The 19,498-nt window shown below is 48.4% G+C and overlaps 1 protein-coding gene and 1 long non-coding RNA gene across 14 annotated transcripts in view, besides 12 other annotated features; one reads left to right on the top strand and one right to left on the bottom strand.

Annotated features, from left to right (window-relative positions):
• Positions 1-19,498, top strand: part of BCAR3 (BCAR3 adaptor protein, NSP family member) — a 286,411-nt gene that overhangs the window by 135,757 nt on the left and 131,156 nt on the right. For 8 of the 10 annotated variants that reach the window (NM_001261408.2, NM_001412054.1, NM_001412045.1 and 5 more), the window contains one exon: positions 6,253-6,303. The exons of the other annotated variants lie outside the window; for them this stretch is intronic. Coding sequence is in view for 3 of the 8 variants with exons in the window: in NM_001412054.1 (NP_001398983.1) it covers positions 6,253-6,303 (51 nt within the window). In the remaining 5 variants the exon portion in view is untranslated. The remainder of the gene's footprint in view (positions 1-6,252; positions 6,304-19,498) is intronic. 10 annotated transcript variants of the gene reach the window in all.
• Positions 888-947: an enhancer, noted in NCBI's record as "active region_1339". NCBI's record gives its function as "activates an Ori minimal core promoter by ATAC-STARR-seq in GM12878 lymphoblastoid cells {active_cell/tissue: GM12878}" and the evidence as "EXISTENCE:reporter gene assay evidence [ECO:0000049][PMID:35858748]".
• Positions 1,048-1,342: a silencer, noted in NCBI's record as "tiled region #5000; HepG2 Repressive non-DNase unmatched - State 23:Low". NCBI's record gives its function as "represses a minimal TATA promoter and a strong SV40 promoter by Sharpr-MPRA in HepG2 cells {active_cell/tissue: HepG2}" and the evidence as "EXISTENCE:reporter gene assay evidence [ECO:0000049][PMID:27701403]".
• Positions 1,078-1,127: an enhancer, noted in NCBI's record as "active region_1338". NCBI's record gives its function as "activates an Ori minimal core promoter by ATAC-STARR-seq in GM12878 lymphoblastoid cells {active_cell/tissue: GM12878}" and the evidence as "EXISTENCE:reporter gene assay evidence [ECO:0000049][PMID:35858748]".
• Positions 4,244-4,373: a silencer, noted in NCBI's record as "silent region_1085". NCBI's record gives its function as "represses an Ori minimal core promoter by ATAC-STARR-seq in GM12878 lymphoblastoid cells {active_cell/tissue: GM12878}" and the evidence as "EXISTENCE:reporter gene assay evidence [ECO:0000049][PMID:35858748]".
• Positions 4,514-4,563: an enhancer, noted in NCBI's record as "active region_1337". NCBI's record gives its function as "activates an Ori minimal core promoter by ATAC-STARR-seq in GM12878 lymphoblastoid cells {active_cell/tissue: GM12878}" and the evidence as "EXISTENCE:reporter gene assay evidence [ECO:0000049][PMID:35858748]".
• Positions 7,614-7,763: an enhancer, noted in NCBI's record as "active region_1336". NCBI's record gives its function as "activates an Ori minimal core promoter by ATAC-STARR-seq in GM12878 lymphoblastoid cells {active_cell/tissue: GM12878}" and the evidence as "EXISTENCE:reporter gene assay evidence [ECO:0000049][PMID:35858748]".
• Positions 8,394-8,473: an enhancer, noted in NCBI's record as "active region_1335". NCBI's record gives its function as "activates an Ori minimal core promoter by ATAC-STARR-seq in GM12878 lymphoblastoid cells {active_cell/tissue: GM12878}" and the evidence as "EXISTENCE:reporter gene assay evidence [ECO:0000049][PMID:35858748]".
• LOC102723480 (uncharacterized) lies at positions 8,740-19,244 on the bottom strand. 4 transcript variants are annotated; one of them, XR_947602.3, is made up of 4 exons: positions 18,880-19,244; positions 18,221-18,381; positions 17,950-18,116; positions 8,740-13,259 (listed from the first exon to the last, which is right to left on the bottom strand). It is a non-coding gene; the product is annotated as an uncharacterized LOC102723480 (long non-coding RNA). The 4 variants fall into 4 exon arrangements; XR_007066228.1 differs by lacking the exon at positions 8,740-13,259 and adding an exon at positions 15,117-15,346; XR_426726.4 differs by lacking the exon at positions 18,221-18,381.
• Positions 9,916-10,826: an enhancer, noted in NCBI's record as "H3K4me1 hESC enhancer chr1:94167125-94168035 (GRCh37/hg19 assembly coordinates)". NCBI's record gives its function as "activates a minimal SCP1, AML or CMV promoter by ChIP-STARR-seq in primed H9 embryonic stem cells {active_cell/tissue: H9 hESC(primed)}" and the evidence as "EXISTENCE:reporter gene assay evidence [ECO:0000049][PMID:30033119]".
• Positions 9,916-11,249: a biological region, named in NCBI's record as "MED14-independent group 3 enhancer GRCh37_chr1:94166702-94167901".
• Positions 10,050-11,249: an enhancer, noted in NCBI's record as "MED14-independent group 3 enhancer chr1:94166702-94167901 (GRCh37/hg19 assembly coordinates)". NCBI's record gives its function as "activates an origin of replication core promoter dependent on BRD2, BRD4, P300/CBP and CDK7 cofactors, and independent of MED14, by STARR-seq in HCT116 cells {active_cell/tissue: HCT116}" and the evidence as "EXISTENCE:reporter gene assay evidence [ECO:0000049][PMID:35650434]".
• Positions 18,197-19,396: an enhancer, noted in NCBI's record as "P300/CBP strongly-dependent group 1 enhancer chr1:94158555-94159754 (GRCh37/hg19 assembly coordinates)". NCBI's record gives its function as "activates an origin of replication core promoter dependent on BRD2, BRD4, P300/CBP, MED14 and CDK7 cofactors, with strong dependence on P300/CBP, by STARR-seq in HCT116 cells {active_cell/tissue: HCT116}" and the evidence as "EXISTENCE:reporter gene assay evidence [ECO:0000049][PMID:35650434]".
• Positions 19,018-19,187: an enhancer, noted in NCBI's record as "active region_1334". NCBI's record gives its function as "activates an Ori minimal core promoter by ATAC-STARR-seq in GM12878 lymphoblastoid cells {active_cell/tissue: GM12878}" and the evidence as "EXISTENCE:reporter gene assay evidence [ECO:0000049][PMID:35858748]".

Raw genomic sequence — 19,498 nt, 5'->3', positions numbered from 1 at the left:
CCATATGATCCAGTGTTCCTGCCCATGTGTGGCAGCAGGAATTGTACCACTCATGGGAGCTTAGCTGTACTCAGCTTTATGCCATTGACTGCATTCTTGAGACCAAGGGAAGCATGGGACAGATGTGGCTTTCCTGGGACAGGCTGGGTGAACCAGGGTCGGGGACAGAGGGGTCAGACAATGATCAAGTTGATACAGGGAATTAAAGGGAAGAGGATAACATTTATTCAGTGCCTGCTACATGTTCAGCACTTCACATATCCAGTTGCACTTCACCCCACAACAGTAGCCACCTCCAGTTTGTAGGAGAAGAAACTGGGGCTCAGCAGAGTGAAGGAACTTGCCCAAGATCACACAGTCAGTAAACGAAATTTAGGATCTCAGCCCTGGTCCTCAGGATTGCAAAGCCTGTGCAAATCAGCTGTGGAAGCCCCTAAGCTTTGAGGAAGGAATAGCAATAGAGACGTGCAGAGAGGGTTTGAAAAGAGTTGGCATTGCATTTTTTTCATCATCTAGTAGAGTTCTATGCAATGTCCATGTTTTGCAGGTCACAAACATGAATAAGACAGGATTCTTGTCTGTAGGTGCTTCCTTAGCAGTGAGGCAGACAGGCTAAGAACAAGATGAGGACAACTAAAGGTAAAATGTTCAAACTCATCCCTGTAAGAAATACTTTGCTTATTGAGTCTCTACTATGTGCCAGGTACTGTACTAGGCTCTGGGGATACTCTGGTGTGCTGTGTTTACAGAAATGGTTGCACTTTCCCCTTTTCCTATATCCACACCCCTTTGCGGCTTCTTCCATTAAAGTTGAGTCTATTCTCCACCGATTGAATCCAGGCTAGCCTCATGACTTGTCTTGGCCAATAGAATGTGGTAGAAGTGACATTGTACCTCTTCCAAATCTTGCCCTTAAGAGGCCTCATACCTATCCATTCTCATTCTTGAAACTCTGTAGCTGCCACGTGGACTCCCCCAGGCTAGCTGGCTGAATAATGACAGACACATGGCCCTTTCACTTTCATTGTCCCAGCCAATGGTCAGTCACCTGACAGACATGAATGAGGCCATTTGGACCCATACCATACAAGTATATCTTAAGGGAAAGGAAGCGATAATTAAGCCAGCCTCCCACGATGGCCCCAGAGATCACCATTCTGGTATTCACACCATGTGTAGTTTCCTCCCACACTGCATCAAGGGTGGTCTGTGTAACAATGGCACATGGCAGAAGGGATGATGTGTTGCTTCTGATATTAGTTCACAAAAGCCTGCAGCTTCTATTTTGGGTGCCTTCTCTCTCTCTTTCTTATCATTCATTCTGGGAGAAGCCAGCTTCCACATCCTGAGAACACCCAGTCAGCCCATGGAGGGGTCATATGGTAAGGAACTGAGATCTCCACCCATAGCCTGAGAGGCACTGAGGTCCACAATGAGTGAGCGTGGCAGGAGATCCTATAGCTCCAGATGACCAAAGCCCAGGCTGACAGCCTGAATGTAACCTCTTGAGAAACCCTGAACCAGAACCATCGAGCTAAGCTGCTCCCAGACTCATGATCCAAAGAATATGTGAGATAACAAATGTTTGTTTTAAGCTACTAGGTTTGGGGGTAATTTGTTATGCCAGAAAAGATAACTGACAAAAAGCGTTAGCTAGATAAAGCAGGGGGAGGGGATGGAGTGTTCCAGACAGAGGGAATGGCATGATCAAAGGTCCTCAGGTAGGAGGGAATACAGGACCAGAAGAAACCGAAAGAAGACCAATGCGACAGGAGTTCAGAGAGCAAATGAGGCCGAAAGGTTGGTGGGGTCGAGACCTGCTGGGTGTGGCCTGGGGGTCTTCCTAACAAGTTTGCATTAGGAGCAACAAGAAATCAAATTATTGAGGGACCAGCATTAGGGGCTTCAAGGAAACCCAGATATCCTGGCTAGGATAAAGTCTCTCCCTGCCAATCCTCCAAATTAGTAACTTTGGGTTTTTAGTTTTCCCTACTCAAAGGTGCCCTTCAAGGTCTCCAAGGGAAGAGGCAAAGGGAGACGTAGCAAACATCCAGCATGGTATGGGTAAGGCTTCTCCAGCTCCAGCCATGCCAGGCAGCCAGGCCCAGCAGAGAGCTGTGCTTCCCTGACTGGTCAGGACTGGTCCCTCCAGCAGGGGCAAAGCCAGAAACAAGGGGTACAGGTCCAGGGAGGGAGCCCACTTCTTGATCAGCCTTTCTTGGTTCCCAGCTTCCCAGCTTCCCACCCCCTATCCACCGGGAGTGAGTTTATACTGTTTTACAGAGACTAGGACACTTGAACTCATATTTCATTCTCTCATGGATTTCGTCCAACTGGCCTAATCTTTTTTCTCTAAGTGACAAAGAATCTAAAGATATGGAATGTTCCCCAAAACAACTTTGCAGAAAAGCAAAATAAACACAGCATCGAACAGGCCCATTCATTTCATGAATTGATTATAGAAAGATAATTTCTATTTTTCTTTTAAAAATATATATTTAAGATAGAGATATGAAAAAATTACATGATGATCCATCAAGGAGATACATTCCACCATGATTATGTTATAGCAGCAAAGCCCTAGTCCTAATATAGGACGGTTGAGTTGATCAGATAAAGACTTTTTTCCCAATCTACAATCCTATAGATTGTAAATACAATTTTTAAAAACTACAACAGTTTTCCATTAAACAGCCTTCCTTTTTCTCTTCCCATCTCTAGTCTAGGAGATATTCCCCTCCCTCCTTCTTGCTGTTCCAAGGACAATCAAGGGGGACTGCCTGCTGAGCATTCACTAATGTCAATCCTAATCTAATGCCAGTAAGACATCCTTATACAGGGTCACCCACACTAAGAGAGAAGGCTCTGTGTCCTGGAGCCCCTGGCCAACACCTGTACAGATCAAGACCCACTTCACTGAAGGGCAAGGGACCAATCTGAAGACAGAGTGTGTTGTCAGAACATCAGTGCTTGCTCAAAACCACTTCCCAATTGGGCAGATTCATTGGTCTCTCTTTCCCTTGAGTGTGCTTTGAACAGACCGCAGGCTGGCTTGGAGGGACAGGAAGAAGAAGAGATGCAGCTGTAAATCAGTGTCACCTCTCCAACTCAGGGTCAGAGGAGGAGAATGTGCCCACCTCCAGGAAGGCCTGCTGTTATCAGATGTGCCTGAGCAGTCATGAGCACGCTGCTCTGCTGCCCTGCAGCCTGTGGACTCCCCCTCGTTCTTCTCTTTTGCAGCCTGGAAACAGATGCCCTTGGGAGGGGAAAAGCTCTGACTTCATCGGGGCTCCCAGGCCCTCCCTTTTCCAAACAGAACAAAGCCTACTTAGCTTATCGCAGCACTTCTCCTTGTGATTTTTTTTTAATTGGCCTCTTCACATGTGCAATCGACTCTCCTGATATGAAAGTTGTGAGCCCTGTTTTTGCAAGCCCGAAGCTTAGAAGCTGATCCCCACGAGCATCAACAGAAATCATCTGAATGCTCTAAGTACTGCCAGTGCTTGCTAAAAAATAAAACAGCCTGCCAACCTCCTCCTGCCTGTGTCCTTGGCACAGCCCTGGCGGGGCAAAGGAGCCCCAAGGACCCCATTGTTCTTTGGAAAGAAAGAAGCAACTCCAGCCAATTCAGGTGTTTGGGGGATTATTGAGATGGTCTTTTTTTGTAGATATGATGTGGTGGTGAATAGGGTAAGTTATATAGGGGACTCTATGGTGGTGACATTTGAAAAGATTGAAGAGTGAACTGAAACCGGTTTCTGTGAGCCCAAAGTTTTATTCAGCCAGTACAGTTCTAGAATTTGCTACTAATATGTTTATTTTCTCCCAAAGATCTTCTCCTTTTCTGAGAGTAATGGGACACTGGGGAGAGAACTTATGGACAAAAATATGGGGACAGAAAAGATTATGACAATTTGTAAAGTGTCCACACTGTTGGTTGGATTAGCTATGTGAGATGATGAGGGAGAAAGAGAGAAAAACAGGCAAAACCAAAAAAGGCCCCTTGGAAACAAAGTTAAGATGGTTTTTGGACTCATCCTACCTCCTGTGGGTTTAGCTTAACATCAGTCCCATCTGCCAGAGGCCGGAGGCAAGGTGCTTAGGGGTTTAATTGTTCTGTGAGACCCTGAAGCAGGATGAGAAGTGGCCTGGTGTCAGAGTAGAGCAGTTGGCCCATTACTGAAGGTCATGGTTCAGAAGTTCTCAACTTACTCTTTTCTCTATTCAGGTTCTATATAAGTGAGCAGTAGAAGGATATGGTTATCTCCTTCCTTTATTGTAGCAGTCTGCGAAGTTCCATTTCCTTCTTGAAACCTCTGACTCAATGGCTAGAGGAACCCTCCCGCACCCCTCCCCTCCTGTCTATGCTGGCAACTTTTGAGCCGCCCCCTCGGCTTACCACCTTGCAAAACCTGTCAGATCCATTGCTTTTACACACTGCTATTTACCTCGTTGTTTATTTTGTGTATGTGGGTCATCTGTTGTTTAGGTTAGATTGAAGTCTGGCTGTGTTGGTGTAGTTAGCTTTTGATTATTTCCAGAAGAAAGATAGTACACCATATCCATACAAGCATTTAATATTACGTTGTTTTCTTTTTGATCTAATGTCCAGCTTCAGCCTAGAAAACATCCTGAATGATCCAGGCTTGGGGACCGTCAGAGCTATTATTATTATTTATTTATTTATTGAGACTGAGTCTCACTCTATCACCCAGACTGGAGTGCAGTGGTGCGATCTCAGCTCACTGCAACCTCTGCCTCCTGGGTTCAAGCGATTCTCCTGCCTCAGCCTCCTGAGTAGCTGGGATTACAGGCACGCGCCACCACACCTGGCTAATTTTTGTATTTTTAGAGATGAGGTTTCACCATGTTGGCCAGGCTGGTCTTGAACTCCTGACCTCAAGTGATCTGCCCACCTTGGCCTCCCAAAGTGCTGGGATTACAGGCATGAGCCACCATGCCCGGCCTATTATTATTATTTTAAAGCATAATTATTTAATGCGGATTTTGCATATCTACTGCATTTGATCCCTTTCTGAATAGTTTTCACTGTTTTATTTAATTACTGTACTTCAAAATACAGAAATTTTGGAAAACAGAGAAACACTCTTTGGTGTATATACTTTTAGTATTTTTTTAAATGCATATAGATTTATTTTCTGTTTTCAGCAATAATATTATACAGTTTGTTTTAAACTGTATACTTTTTTTGTTTTTTTGAGATGGAGTCTTGCTGTTGTCACCTAGGCTGTAGTGTAATGGCATGATCTCAGCTCACTGCAAACTCTGCCTCCCAGGTTCAAGCAATTTTCCTTCCTCAGCCTCCCGAGAAGCTGGGATTACAGGCGCCCGCCACCACACCTGGTTAATTTTTGTATTTTTAGTAGAGACGGGGTTTCACCATGTTGGCCAGGCTGGTCTCGAACTCCTGACCTCGTGATCCACCCGCCTCTGCATCCCAAAGTACTGGGATTACAGGCGTAAGCCCCTGCGCCCGGCCTAAACTGTATACTATTAAACTGTATATTGTTTACTTTAGTAATAGATCATGAATGGATTCCCATGTTGCTATAGAAATTATAATGGCTGTGTAATATTGAATTATGTAGATTTATATAAGTAATTCTCCATTATTGGACTTTTATTTATCAAACATTTATATAAGCACTTACTATGTGCCAGGCATAGTTCTAAGCTCCAAATAGATATTAACTCATTTAACTCTCATAATAACTTTATGAGGTAAGTACTATTTACATCCCCATTTTGCAGATGAGGAAACTGAGTCACAGGCTGACTAGCTTGTCCCAGGGCACACCTCTTTGTAAGTGATGGGGCCAGATTCAAACCCAGACGATCTGGCTCCAGAGTCTGTGCTGTAATCACAGTCCTCTGCTTGCTTCCCTCTACCTCTATTGAAAAGTAAAGACCTTTCTTTCCTGGGAGAATAGCTTAATCTTAATAAGACTTCCCTGGCAAATAAGGGAACTGCTGTCCTGTGAGTCACTGTTATTTGTAATTAATTGTAACCTGCTGAGACAACAGGCAAAGAAACATCTAGGCAGAATGGGCGGTGTGAGCTCTGCAGCCCAGAGAAGGTGACTCCAGGAGGGGCTGTAGACTTGAATCCAACCAGGCTGAGGTCCAGGTTACTCACCCACTGGCAGAACCCAAGTGACTCTGCCTCCCCTGAAGCTACTGTAATTGCCTCACACCCACCTGAGATGGTCTTTCCTTTGCATTCTACTACAGGAGCTGCTTCATCTGACCCAAGCTGGCCTGGAGAAAGGAGGAAGAGGCAAGGTAGGAAGTGGCCTGGCCCCCTGCTGCTCTGCCCCAGAGTGCAGGGCAGAAACTGCAGCTGGAGCTGTGGGGTGGTGTTGATCCAGCCTACAAAGTGACTTCTGGGGCAGTACCTGGAGTGTATGAGAATCCTCTTGTTAACCTGCAGAAGCTCCAGCGTAGTTGTTTCTGGGTGACTCTAGGATCCTTATTCATCGCAGCCTTGAGACCGGGCTTTGGCTTCAGCCACCTCCTTTCCTATCCTCTCCCTTCCAGTAATGACAATATGATATCATAGCTGACCATAATTGTTCTGTCTGACATTTAATTCATTCTAACTCATTAAATTCTCACAACAGTGCTATGAGGTAGAATGATGGTTACCATAATTATCCTCATTTCAGTGGTGAAGAAAGGCAGCCACAGGGAGGCTGAATAACCTGCCGTAAGGTGGGGAGGGTTTCAGGTGCTGGGAGCACCACAGAGTTGTGACCTTGACTTGTATCCCAAACAGACCCTGAGAAGGGAGCAGTGGCTGGAGGGGAAACTGCAGTTGAACCACCTTGCTCCTCTTAACCCTAGTGGGAGGAGAAGTTCTAAACAAACAATTGGCATTTGACAGGGGAGTGTTAGGGCTGGAGGTGGTCGGAAGTTATATTTTATTGAAGCACCTTGGCAGTTGTTTGCAGGGCTGGTAGTGGGTTTATATGGCATAACATTCCTGCTCTCTCCCTGGGAGGTCTGTCAGTTTTCCTTTATTTCCGCATTTACAAGGGAGCCCGGAACACATACACCCTACATTCAAAGTCAATGTCACAGGGTAAATTGGTCCAGGGAGGACCAATTACTGCAGTCCTAAGACCTGCCACTCTAAATGCACGAGATGGAGATGCTTACATACCACCCAGCCCGTGAAGTTCTTTTCCACGCAGAAACCCCACAAGTTGGGTTCCCACCTGGATCAGGACTCCACCCCCTTCTCCTAAACATGGAAACAACCCCGGGTGGAGCTAGAACCAGCTCAAGTCAGACCTCCCAGTCTAGGAAGATCATTGGTCTAACTTGATAACAATGTATAGAAAAGATGCTTTAAACAGAACTAGGTAAGGCTTGGCAAAAACTGGCTTTCCTGCAGCTAAATGCATGCTGACATGTACCTATTGAGTTTTGGAGCAACTAACTCTTAGGAATGTGTGTGTACTTTTGTCTTAGGAAAAAGACAAAACCTGCCATAGTCCTTGAAGGTAAGTAAACCATGAAAAATAGAAGTGCAATGTCTGATAGGCTTTTAAAAAGAAGAAGAATTGCTGCTCTCCTAGTTGGAGCCACAGTAATGTTATTACCTCGAATAATGAGGCAGTCCCCTGACTTGGCCTTCTACCATCTATTCTCCCCACCATGAACAGATGGATCACTTAAAAGTACAATAGATCATGCCACACTCCTGCCTAAAAACTTTCAAGGACTTCCTTTCACACCCTGATGGGGTCCACACTCCTCACAGGGCATTCATAATGCACCCCTGACTCTGGAGATGTGGTGAAGTGTAGTATAATAGCTAAGTGCTCCATGGCTATGGCACCAGCTGGAATCCTAGCTCTGTCCCTCACTAGCTGTGTAACTTTGGCCAAGTATCTCTACTTCTCTGTGTCTGTGTTTTCATTCGTAAAATGAGAATAGCAGTACCTACCTTATAGATGCATGTAATGAGCACCCAACAGCCATCACAGCTGTTTTTATTATTACTTTTGACCTCATCGTCTCTACTTTCCCCACCCCCACCTCATTACACTCCAGTCACACCAGACTTCTTTCTGTTCCTCAAATTTGCCAAACTTATGTCTAAATGTGGACTTTTGCCCTAGAGTGAGTGAAACTGTCTGCCCACACCCACTCCCACTCAGGCCTGTGAGCTGCTGGTTTCTTCTCATTTTCAGATTCCAAATGAAGGCACCTCCACAAAGAGGCCTTCTCTGACCACCTATTCCAAATCAGTCCTAAGTCTCTCACTAGCCCTGTGCTGCCCTATGGCAATTTCTGTGATGATGGAAATGTCCTATATACCACTAACCACTAGCCACATTGGCTATTCAGCACCTGAAATGTGGCTAGTGTGAATAACTGAATGTTTAATTTCACTTAATTTTAATTCATTTAGACTTAAATGTAAATAACCACATGTGGCTCCTGTATTAGATAGTCTGGCTGTAGCCATTACCTGACTCGTGCACTCGTCACTCCCTGGACTTGTCTTGCTGATTCATTTGTCTGTTGTTTGTCATTTGTCTGCCTCCCCCAACCAGACAGTAAGGTCAACAGAAGTGGCAGAGGGCCTTATGCACCTTGCTCACCGCTGTATCTCCCTGTGCCTAGGAGAATATCTGGGTCTTTGTGGGGCTCAATAATATTGTTGGATAAATAAATGAATGGGCATATAGAAGCACTCTGTAAACCAAATTACATAATATAAATGTAGTATATTATCATTATATGTGTATATAATTTGAAAGCCTGCAGGGTTATCTCTTTTTTTTTTTTTTCTTTTTAAGAGACAGGGTTTTGCTCTGTCACAGGCTGGAGTGTGGTGGCAAGATTATAGCTTGCTGCAGCCTCAAACTCCTAGGCTCAAGCAATCCGCTGGCCTTAGCCTCCCGAGTAGGTAGGACTACAGGAGTGTACCACGACACCTGCTAATTTTTTAAATAGAGACAGAGTCTTGCTTTGTTTCCCAGGCTGGTCTTGAACTCCTGCTTCAAGCATCCTTCTGCTTCAGCCTCCCAAAGTACTGGGATTACAGGTGTGAGCCACTGTGCCTGGCTGTGTTTCACTTTTTAAAAATCCCTAATACACACACAGCTGATCGTTAAATGTCAATAATTTTTAAAAGTTGTTTTCCTGTTTGGAGTGCATTTTTTATGTCTTCAAGTGAGACCCCTCACCACACAGGTAGTATATATGATAAGCAGTCCCTCTGGAAACCTAAGGAGGGCCTGGCCTGATCACAGTTCCAATTCCAGGCAACTTCTGAGCAGCTGTCTTTGAGTTAAGTAAAGCAGGACACACCTGTGAGCTCTTCTGCCTAGCACAGGCCGCGGTGGCCAGCCTTGGACCACAGAGGGCAGGCTCTCTTTGCTGGTCCCTGGGCTGTTCATCTGCTGCCCAGAGATCACTGTTCCAGGCTTGATCAGGATCAGGATCAGGTCTGAAGCCTCTGACATGCGTGGGCAGCTGCCATTCTATCATGAAAACATGAGTTTTCCTAAGGGGATTGCAGTATTCTGGAAATTAAAAACAAGGTAGGAGCAAGTCGTCTCCTTCCTGTGGGAGTAGCTGAAGCTCAGTTCTGAAATACAATGCCTGGCACTCCTGGGAGGGCTGGGACCTGGCCTGTTCCATGCCACTGGGCGGTGTGCGGTTTCCAAAGAGGGCTGGGGCTGTTATCTGACCTCCTGTCTTAATGAAGTGCTTTGGCTTCATGTCTGCCTCTGAGAGAGCTCTGTGACTGGAGCAGCAGAGTCAAATCGAAGACAGGGGACATCCCCCCAACCCCCATCCCCACCCCCACCTGGGCCTGAGCCCAGGAACTCCATGAGCACAGACTCACTGCCACTTCCATTGCTCAAAACCAGCTGCAGGGTCTGGGAACCAGGCTCAACTTGCTGTGCCAGGCCAGCCTGGACCTCCTCTGACCTGGGCCTGAGCTGATAAGTTGGGGGAACAGTCAGGAGACAGTTGGGCTGAGGTTGTTTTTAAGACTCCTCTGTGGCCCATGTGCTTGGATTTCTTGTCAAAACTCTCCCTCCTGACCTGCCTAACTTGCCCCTCCCCGCCATGCCTAGGCACACATTTTCTTCCCATAATATCAGACCTGATTCTCAGAATGGGTACAGGGCGTATTCATGGGGGCGCAGCTTCAGGAAGGGGCCTGCTGCAATGGCGTGCTGTGCTTGGGGGCATGAAGTGTGCAGGGGTAGGTATGCTGGCCCTGAGACTTTCCCCCGTGAGAATTTCATTGCCACAGCGCCAGTGGGTGGATCGATAGCTTTAGGAAGGTGAGGTTTCTTTTGTGGAGAAAGCACCAGGAACACTGTGTCCACCCCCAACCCCACCCCAAGCCACAGGCTCCTGGATGGCCTGGGTTCTTCCACTACACTCACTCAGCCCTTCTCTATGTGGTGCCCATGCCTGGAGCACAGCCCAGTCCCACCCTGCCCCTGAGGGTGGCTCACATGTTCTTAAGGCAGGTACCAGGAGGATGACTGGCCACTCAGGGATGCAGGAAGTGGCTTTTCTGCATGGCCTGCCTGGTGAGTCACCTGGAGAATGCTGGGCCCAGTTCAGTCCTCCCAGTCCCACAAGGCCTGTAGATACCAAAAATGGAGACAGAATCATCCTTGGAGAGAGGCCCAGGGGCAGGCCTGGGAAGCAGGCAGAGTGGGGACAAAGAGGGCCACCACATAAAACAGGCCCCTGTGGGCCTGCCCAGCCCCTCATCACACACGGTGGTTGGTCTGTGCAGTGTCTCTTTTGTCCCAGTGGCTTCATTTTGTTTCCACTTTTTATAAATGCTTGCTAATTCGGCTTCATCTTTTTCAAAATAATAATATGTCATTGTGAAGAGATGTCCCCTGCCAGGCATCTTTAGGGCTTTTCTCAGGGCCCAACAGACCGATGCACATGAGGGCATCAATGCCCTCCCCCAGCCTGGTGAACCCTGACTTCCATTCCAATGGAAGACACGTGGGGTGGCCGGTCTCTGCCCCTCTCGAAGGCACGTTTTGGGTTGGAAGGAGGCCTTGGGCCCCCTAAGGCAAGCTCAATAAGGGAACCAGTGACAGCGGAGAACTCAGCCACACAGCTCCCTTCAAGGCAAGTGGGGACCTCACGATGACCGCTGTGGTTATTCAGTGCCTGCGTGTGGCAGGCCCTGTGCTCCATGCTCCTTTGACATCATTGGGTCTAATTCTCAAGGGCCAGTCCAAGAGGCAAATATTCTCATTACGCCCATTTTACAGTGGGGAAACAGGAGCAGAGAGGTGAAGGAATTTGCCCAAGGTCACACAGCTTCAAGCAGCAGAGCCACTGCTCAAAACCCAGGTTTGGCTGCCCCGAAGGCTGTGCTTTTAACAGCACACCATCTGCCTCCCACCTGGTGAGGTCCGCTGAGGGTGCCCACATGCCTGCCCTGCGCTAGGTCCTGAGGGGACGGCAGACGCCTGTGGGCAGAGCCTACCCTCCGCAGTAGCTCAGAGCAATCTGCTTCCCTCCCCAAAAGGCCTGAGTCAAAACCCTCTCCACTGATGAAATGTTTCTTCCTGTGGAATTCCGCTGAAAGACAGCTCCCGACTGTGTCCATTTGTTCTCCACAGGAGAATCCTGTAGGGGAAAGATTATCAAAATATTTGCCGGCCTTGCAGGGAGTATTCAGAGTCGTTGCCGGAGTGCTACTAGATGTGTGAGGTGCTGCTGTTCCTCCTGGCTTCTGTTTGTATCCATCTGCCAAGGAGGGGAGAGGGGCAGAATCTCTGTTTAACCTATAGGTGGAAGCTATAGTTAGCATTCTATGAGCCCATCGGGGATGCTCAGGTACAGTGCAGATGTCTGCCAGTGGCATGTCCAAATAAATAGGCATTTAAGGATTTCCTAGGCCAGGCGCAGTGGCTCATGCCTGTAATCCTAGCACTTTGAAAGGCTGAGGCAGGCAGATCTCTTGAGCTCAGGAGTTTGAGACTATCTCTACAAAATTATAAAAATTAGCCAGGTGTAGGGGTGTGCCCCTGTGGTCCCAGCTACTCAGGAGGCTGAGGTGGGAGGATGGCTTGAGCTCAGGAGGAGGAGGCTGCAGTGAGCCAAGATTACACCACTGCACTCCAACGTGGGCAACAAGGCTAGACCCTGTCTCAAAAGAAAAAAAAAGAATTTTCTAGTTTAAAGCATTAGGGGGGATCTAAACTTTGAACTGGGTGAAGTGCAATTGGCATACTCCTGGAGTCTTGGGTGTGCTGAGCCCCCAGGGTGGAGGAAAAAGCCTTGGGTTTTTTGGTCAGAAGATCTGACAACTTGACTAGCTCTGCCCTTGACTGGCCAGGCAAGTCCCTCACCTCCCTGGGCTCATTGCCTTACCTGTAAAATGGGGTGGGGTAGCCAGGGGAGATGATCTTTGAGAGGCAGGGCAGCATCTGGGAGCCAGGCTGTCCAAGTCCCTTCATAAGAGCTGGCAAATGGCGGGCAACCTCTCTGGGTCTGTTTCCTCATTTGTACTGTGTGTATGTGTGTGTGTGTGTGTGCACCTGTGTGTGTGAAATGGGTCTATATGTAATGTCTCTGGAACAGTGCTTGGCTATTACATAATAAGCACTCAGTAAACTTGGCTATTATTATTTATGGCCCCTCTCCACTCCCACATGAACTAAACTGTGGGTCTTGGCAATCATCCTCTGAGAGAAAATGCTTTGTTTGAGCAGTGGGTTGAAAGGCTGGCTGGAGGGAAAGAAGATTCTTCCTTGCTGGAGTTTAAAAACAAGACATGGGGCCGGGAGGAGGAGAGAATCACTGAGGCCGGTATATGATCACCTCATGAGTTCTTCTGCCCATCCACCCCCGCCCCCGCAACAAGGTACAGCTTTAATGAGGTGATTTCACCCCTACAGAAATCCTCGAGGTTGGGGTTGGGGAGGCAAGGAGTGTAAATGTCCCCAGCGCCCAGCCTCCCTGATAGCATCTTGGAAGCATGAACAGGAAGAAGACTGTAGGGAGATTGGCTTCAAGTGCCGAAGCAGAACTCTTCAAACTTTTTCTGTTCGTTTTCACTATTTTGGGTTTCTCTCCCCCGAAGGGAAACACTCTGCAGGTGACACAGTGTGAGTTAAGAAAACCCCATGTGTCGGAGCCAGACAGAGGGGAGAATTCAAATTGGATCTCTACAGTTTACTGGCCGACCAGGGTTATCTCTTCTCTCTGAGGTTCAGTTCCTTCATCTGTAAAATGGAGATAATGATACTTGTTTTACAGGGTTGTTGGAGAATTAAATATGAACATATATGTACAGCAGAAAGCAGGGGTTCAGAAAAGCTAGGTCCCCTGCGCTGCATCCCCTCCCTGTCTATGCCTAAGAGGGTGCTCCACTTGCCTGTCCACCTTCTGTACCAAGCCAAAAAAGCAGGAGGCACGATTCCCTTGTGTTGTGTGCTGTTAGCTTTCAGAACAAGGCTATAATCTTCCTAGAAGCTCCTGGGCAGGTTAGAACCTGTGGGCTGTCGTCAGTAGTGGATGCTGTTAAGGTAAAGCTATAAATACGAATGAAACAAAAGGAGAAAACTCAACAGCCCCCTTTCACCTGACATTAGGCCACAGACAGATTGGCCACAGACTTGACTTAGCAGCGAAGGTTGATGCTAAAGGCTGAGCACAGTGGCAGTCACAGGGCAGACTAAGGACACCTCTCTTTATCAAGTATCCTCCACCCCACTCAGGAATGGGTTGTTGGAGTTTAGGTGGCCAGGGCCACAGTCATGAGTATATTGCCTTCTCTCCTCTGGCCACGGAGGCCTCGTGGTTGGGGTAGGCTTGGAGTGAGTGGGATGGTCCTGAAGGGGTTAAAGGAGGAGTAGGGCACAGTCACAGGCCTGGGAAGCATCTCAATGGGCTGAAATTCTAAGCCCCCACCCAGTAAGGTCCTTGGGGATCCCAAAGCCCTTGTCATCTATCACCAGATCCTGGGTTCCTTTTATGTTCTCCTAAACTTTCTCATGGCTGCTACCAGTGTCTTATCTGTCAAGGTTGTGACAATCCAAAATGGTACCTTTTTGCAGATTAGAAATAGGCTCCCCTTTCCCCAGCAAATGCAGTCCTGCGCCAGGACACACAGCTTGTGATACAGGTGCATAGGCTAGATTTCAGCCCCCAGTTGCCCCCTTGGCTGAGCTGCCTTGTCCTGCTTCCCATGCTCTGCTTCAGTGGTCAGGACTGGCCATCCTGCTTCCGCTGCTGCCTCCTCTGAACTTGCTTCTCCTGCCTCCGCCGTAGCCCTTCCTGTGAGCAGAGCTGGCTTTCAGTAGGACACAGAAGGTAGCCTGGATGTGCCAGCTTTTCTAGCCCTCTCTTTGTTTTGTTTTTTTGTTTTTGTTTTTGTTTTGAGACAGAGTTTTGCTCTTGTTGCCTAGGCTGGAGTGCAATGGCACGATCTCGGCTCACGACAACCTCTGCCTCCTGGGTTCAAGCGATTCTCCTGCCTTAGCCTCCCGAGTAGCTGGGATTACAGGCATGCGCCACCATGCCTGGCTAATTTTGTGTTTTTAGTAGAGATGGGGTTTCGCCATGTTGGTCAGGCTGGTGTCGAACTCCTGACCCCAGGTGATCCGTCGTCTCGGCCTCCCAAAGTGCTGGGATTACAGGCTTGAGTCACCACGCCCGGCCTAGCCCTCTCTTTAAAGGGGCTTGTGACCCATTCCAGGGCTGGGTCAGAGGACACTTGAAGGATGCCACAGAGTCCAATTGTATAGTATTCTCTCTGGCATCATTCAGCACATCAGGCCCAGGTGAAGGTCTCCCCATCTCCTATAGTAGTGAGAATCCCCCACCTATCCAAGGCTGATGGCAGTGCCCCCAAGACTGTTCAAGAGAGTGCGTCCCCAAGTCCTGGGGCCTCTGGCATCAATCTCGGCCTCTTCACTTTCCTCCCAGCAGGGCATGTAGGCTGTCTTATAAACAGCGTCCTGGGTGCCTGCTCTGGCATCTCAGGATGCCTGAGGTGGGCAGGTAAGTGGGCTACGCCCTCCCTCCCAGCTGGACTATCCCCTCACAACTGGGTTACACAAATAGGAACAGCCTAAGCCCTTAGGGTTTAGGGTAGTCTGAAAACATGGCATTTTATGATTCCATCTCTCCCCCTTTTAAACTCACATGCACATCCCTGCCAGAATATCTGGACCACCTGTTTAGATGTGAATGGTCTGAAGCCAAGTTTCTGGTAGCTTTGCCAATAGCCAGGAGAGGCCACTCCCTTTGAGGGGCAGAGCTCGAGGTGCGCTGTACCTGGGTGGTCCTGCTGCTTCACTGTGAGAGGCTAAGGGAGGAGAGGAGGGCTGGCTTCAGACACATTTGTGGGTGCACGGAGACGCCAGCTCCCAGTCACTGAGTATCAATCAGGGCTGGAGGAGGCTGTAACACCTTAAAACAGTCTTCAAACTTTCTCTCCACAGCTAATAGCTGGATTTACCATATAATCTGGTAAGTGGAAAGTAACACAGGAACACGCTTGAGAAGTGCCAACCCAGAGCCAAAAGAGAAGTTGCTGGGGACACGATGCCTGGGCAAGGGATGGGAGTTGGTTAGATAGAGAATGAAAGAAACTGTAGGAGCAATGGCTTGGAGGCACCAAATAAAGGGTGAGTTCAGGGGAAGCATCCTGAGGAATTTGAATTTCCACTTATGGGTGGCAAGAAGCTCTTGAAGGGCTTTAAGTGGTAGAGGGATGGATCAAGCTTGCCTTTCAGAAACATCACTCTGGGGCCTGCATGGAAGACAGAATGGAGAAGGGCAGGATGGGAGGGAGGGAGACCAGCTGGGAAGCAATGGAGAGTCCAGGCGAGAGAGGAAGGGACCCTGGGCCAGAGTGGTGGTGGGGGAAGGAGAGGAGGGCATGACTTTGAGGATTCCTTAGGGATAAAGTCCCCAGGCCTTGGTGAGAGATTGGCTGTGTGTTATTTGTGTGCGGGTAGAAATGGAGAGAGACTGGGACCCAGGGTGGTTCCCAGGGTTCCAGCTTGGGCAATAGCTGGATGGAGATGCCATCCTAATATGTGGGAATTCAAGAGAAGAGGAAGCTGGCTGTGGAGTGTGCAAATTTTAAACCGTCTGTCCCATAATCAACATTTAGCAAACCATTTGGATGTGAAAACTAAGCTAAAGAGGCAGAGCTGGGCACAGTGGCTCATGCCTGTAATTCCAACTACTCGGGAGGCTGAGGCTGCTTGAGCATGGGAGGTCAAGGCTACAATGAGCTTTGATTTTGCCACTGCACTCCAGCCTGGGCGACAAAGCAAGATCCTGTCTCAAGAAAAAAAAAAAAAGAGAGAAGCAGTAGCAGGTTGCATTATACTGTGGAAGTATGTGTGATAACCAGGCAGAGTAGACCAAGTGCAGGACCTGGATATGCCCATTTTCAAGGTGGTTGGGGAAAGAGGACACACAGAAAGACAGGCTGGAAACTGTCAGAGAGGTAGCAAAAGAGTCAGGAGAAAACGGTGTCTCAGAGGTCACAAGAGCTGAAAGATTCACAAAAGAGGAAGCAGTCAACAATGTCAAATATAGCAGAAAAGCCAAGTAACACAAGTTCTGAATCCTGTCCACAGGATCATACACTGAAGAAGTCATTATCAACCTCAGGGAGCGCAATTTCAGAGGAGGGGCTGAGGCAGGCCTGACTGCAGAGAATTACAGAGCCTTCAGTGAAAGGAAGACAGGAGATTGGATAAAGATGGTAGATAGGGGCATAAAATTGAGCAAGCTGTTCAGGGCAAGGGAAACTTGAGCAGCTTAACTGGCTGAGCTGGAACAGCCAGCTGAGAGGGAGGCATTAAAGATAGAGAGAAAGAGGGTGATGATAGAGTGGGATGGGAATGGGATGGATGGCAGCAAGAACATACTGGGTGGGTTTCTACTGAACCACAGGAGTGAGACAGTGAAGAGACAGGTGGAGAGGTTGACAGTGATGTCAGTTCCATTGTAGGGGGAAAAGGAGTGGGAGTTGGAGCCTGATGGCCTCATGGGCTCTAATTCTAGATGAAGTTGAGCTTACCCTAGATTTGTGATGGGGTGGGCCTGCAGGGTTGTGGGGTTTCTCTGAAGATTTCAGAGAAGATGGAATGAATTAATCTGAGCGTTCCTGAGTAAGTACAACAGAAGGATATGGGTCCAGACTGACAACAAACTGGCTCATGTGATTAACCATGGGTGGGCAGGGAAGGAAGAAGGAAGCCCAGGAGGGGCCTGATAGACCAGAATGATGTCGATGCATGACAGGATTATGCTCAAGGGCCAGGTGCCAGGGAACAGGAATGTGGGAGGGCGAGGGGAATGTGGGCAGAAAGAGGCTATTGGCCTGACGATGTCAGGGGAGGAGCAGTCCCAGGGAATAACAAGGCCCAGGTGGGCCAGAGTGTAGGCTGAGGTGGAGCACAGGTGAAGGTGATCAGAGTTGGGAGGTCATTTTACTTTGAGGCTGGAGCATTGGAGGTGCTGTCACAGGACAGGAGTGGGTGGCTTTGAGGACCCCAGCCATTTCCAGGGTGAATTAGGAACAGTGTTTGGTGGATTACAACAGGAGGAGTGTGGTTTGGGGTCTCCCAAATGTGTTTGATCATAAGGACACATGGGCTCTTGTTAAACATTGGCTGCCAGGTCTCACTTGGATCTCTCCAATTCAGACCTCTGGGACAGGAGCCAGGGGATGTGCATGATTCTGATGATCAGGTGACTTTAATGATCAGGAAAGTTGGAGAAGGTTGATATTAAGAAGGCATAGGCCTCCAAGTATGGAGAAGGGGACTATAGAGAAGAATGGATGAGAGGTTTGGAAAAGAAAGGGGTAGGGAGAAGAAAGAGGAAGGGACCAGGAGAGCCATGGAGAGTGGAGTGGAGGAGAGAATTCATGCCCAGAGGACTCACATTTTGGATGCTGAGAAAGAATGATGTGATGTGAAGCACTCTGGAGTCATGACTGGGCTCAGTCACAGTAGCCGGGATCCCACGGTGGCTGGGAGGGCGTCAGTCCCTGGAAAGTCTCCTCTTTTTGTCCCTTGATGATTCATGCAGGGCATTTCAGGATCCCGGAGCTGGCACCAGATTGACATGGAAGTGGAGTTGCCAGCCAACAGTGTGATGTGATTTCCACGTGCCAGGGGAGCTCCCCACCCTGTGCTCTGTGAGCATCCCTTACCGGAAGTTCCACCAGGAGCTGGGCAAGGCTGAAGCTACCAGGTGTGGAGGGAATGACGTGGGCTTTAGAATCCTGGTCAGATCTGTATTCTCATCCTCTGATACTTTTTAGACATGCAACCTTGGGCAACTTAGCCTCTCTTTGCACCTCAATCTCCTCATCTATAAAATAGGGATAATAATACCTGCCTCAAAGAGCTGTCGTGAGGATTAAGTGGGCAAAGCACACAGAGTGCCAAGAGTAGGTGCTCAGGGGCTCAAGCAAGAGGCAGAGCCTTGGTGGTGGAGACCACTATCAGCTCCACTCCACACTGAGAGCCCAGAGCAGATGGGAGATGGACAGTGGGATAGGAGCACAAGAGGTGAGCGTCCCTGGAGCTACTTTCGAGTTTCTGCCCCCTACTAGTCACCAAAATCACAGCAGTCCGTGTTTACAGAGGCATCTTACCTGTCCTCTATTTTTACTGTGTTACCAAGGTGGTAACAGTATAATATTATTTTTGTATAAAGTGTTTTAAAGGACCACCTGATCTGTTGTCCCCAGCACCTTGCACTTTGGGGGACGCTATGTGTTCATCATCAATATATTCTGAAATAAGAAACAGAAACCAGAAATTTAATCATCCAGTACCCAGTCCACAAGAAAGGCCAATGACTCACTTCAGAATATGCGAGGATTGTTCACTCATTTCCTTCCATGTGGCGTGTTTGTCACTGCCTGGTCATGCTGTGAGGAAGAGCTGCTCTCACCTTCATGTTCATGAACCTGAGACAGACGAGGTCACATGGAGATCACTCAAGGGGTTCTTTCTTCCTGGAAATGCTGACAACTGAGAAGTTTGCCTCTCACAGCTGTATGAAAGGTTTTGTGAGGAAGAGGTTAGGGCAGCACCAGGGGTTAGCCCCCCAAAGTGCTATTCCCTAAGCCTAGTACAGGAAAAAGAAATTTCCCCTGTACTGGGTAGAAGGATGACTGCTGGCTTGCTCCCTTGCAGGAGGGTTGTTGAGTTGGAGCAGTGCCTCTCACACAGGTCACTGGGAGGCTTGTTAAAATGTGGGTTCTGAGTCAGTGCCTTAGGGTGGGGCTGAGATTCGGCATTTATGGCAAACCCCGGGCACTGGAGAGGCAGCTGCTCCACAGCCCCAGGACGGCGCTAGGACACACCTGTGAACCTTCAATGTGGGTTCCTGCCATGGGGAAAATTCAAGTGTATGTAGAGGCTTGACTGTGGTTCCTGACCTGCTTGAGACCCCCACACACTCTGACCCTATGTCTGAA

The sequence above is a fragment of the Homo sapiens genome, chromosome 1 (genome assembly GCF_000001405.40).
Source record: "Homo sapiens chromosome 1, GRCh38.p14 Primary Assembly".
NCBI lineage: Eukaryota > Metazoa > Chordata > Mammalia > Primates > Hominidae > Homo > Homo sapiens.
Note: the sequence above shows the minus strand (reverse complement) of the source record. Positions and strands in the feature narration are given on the sequence as shown.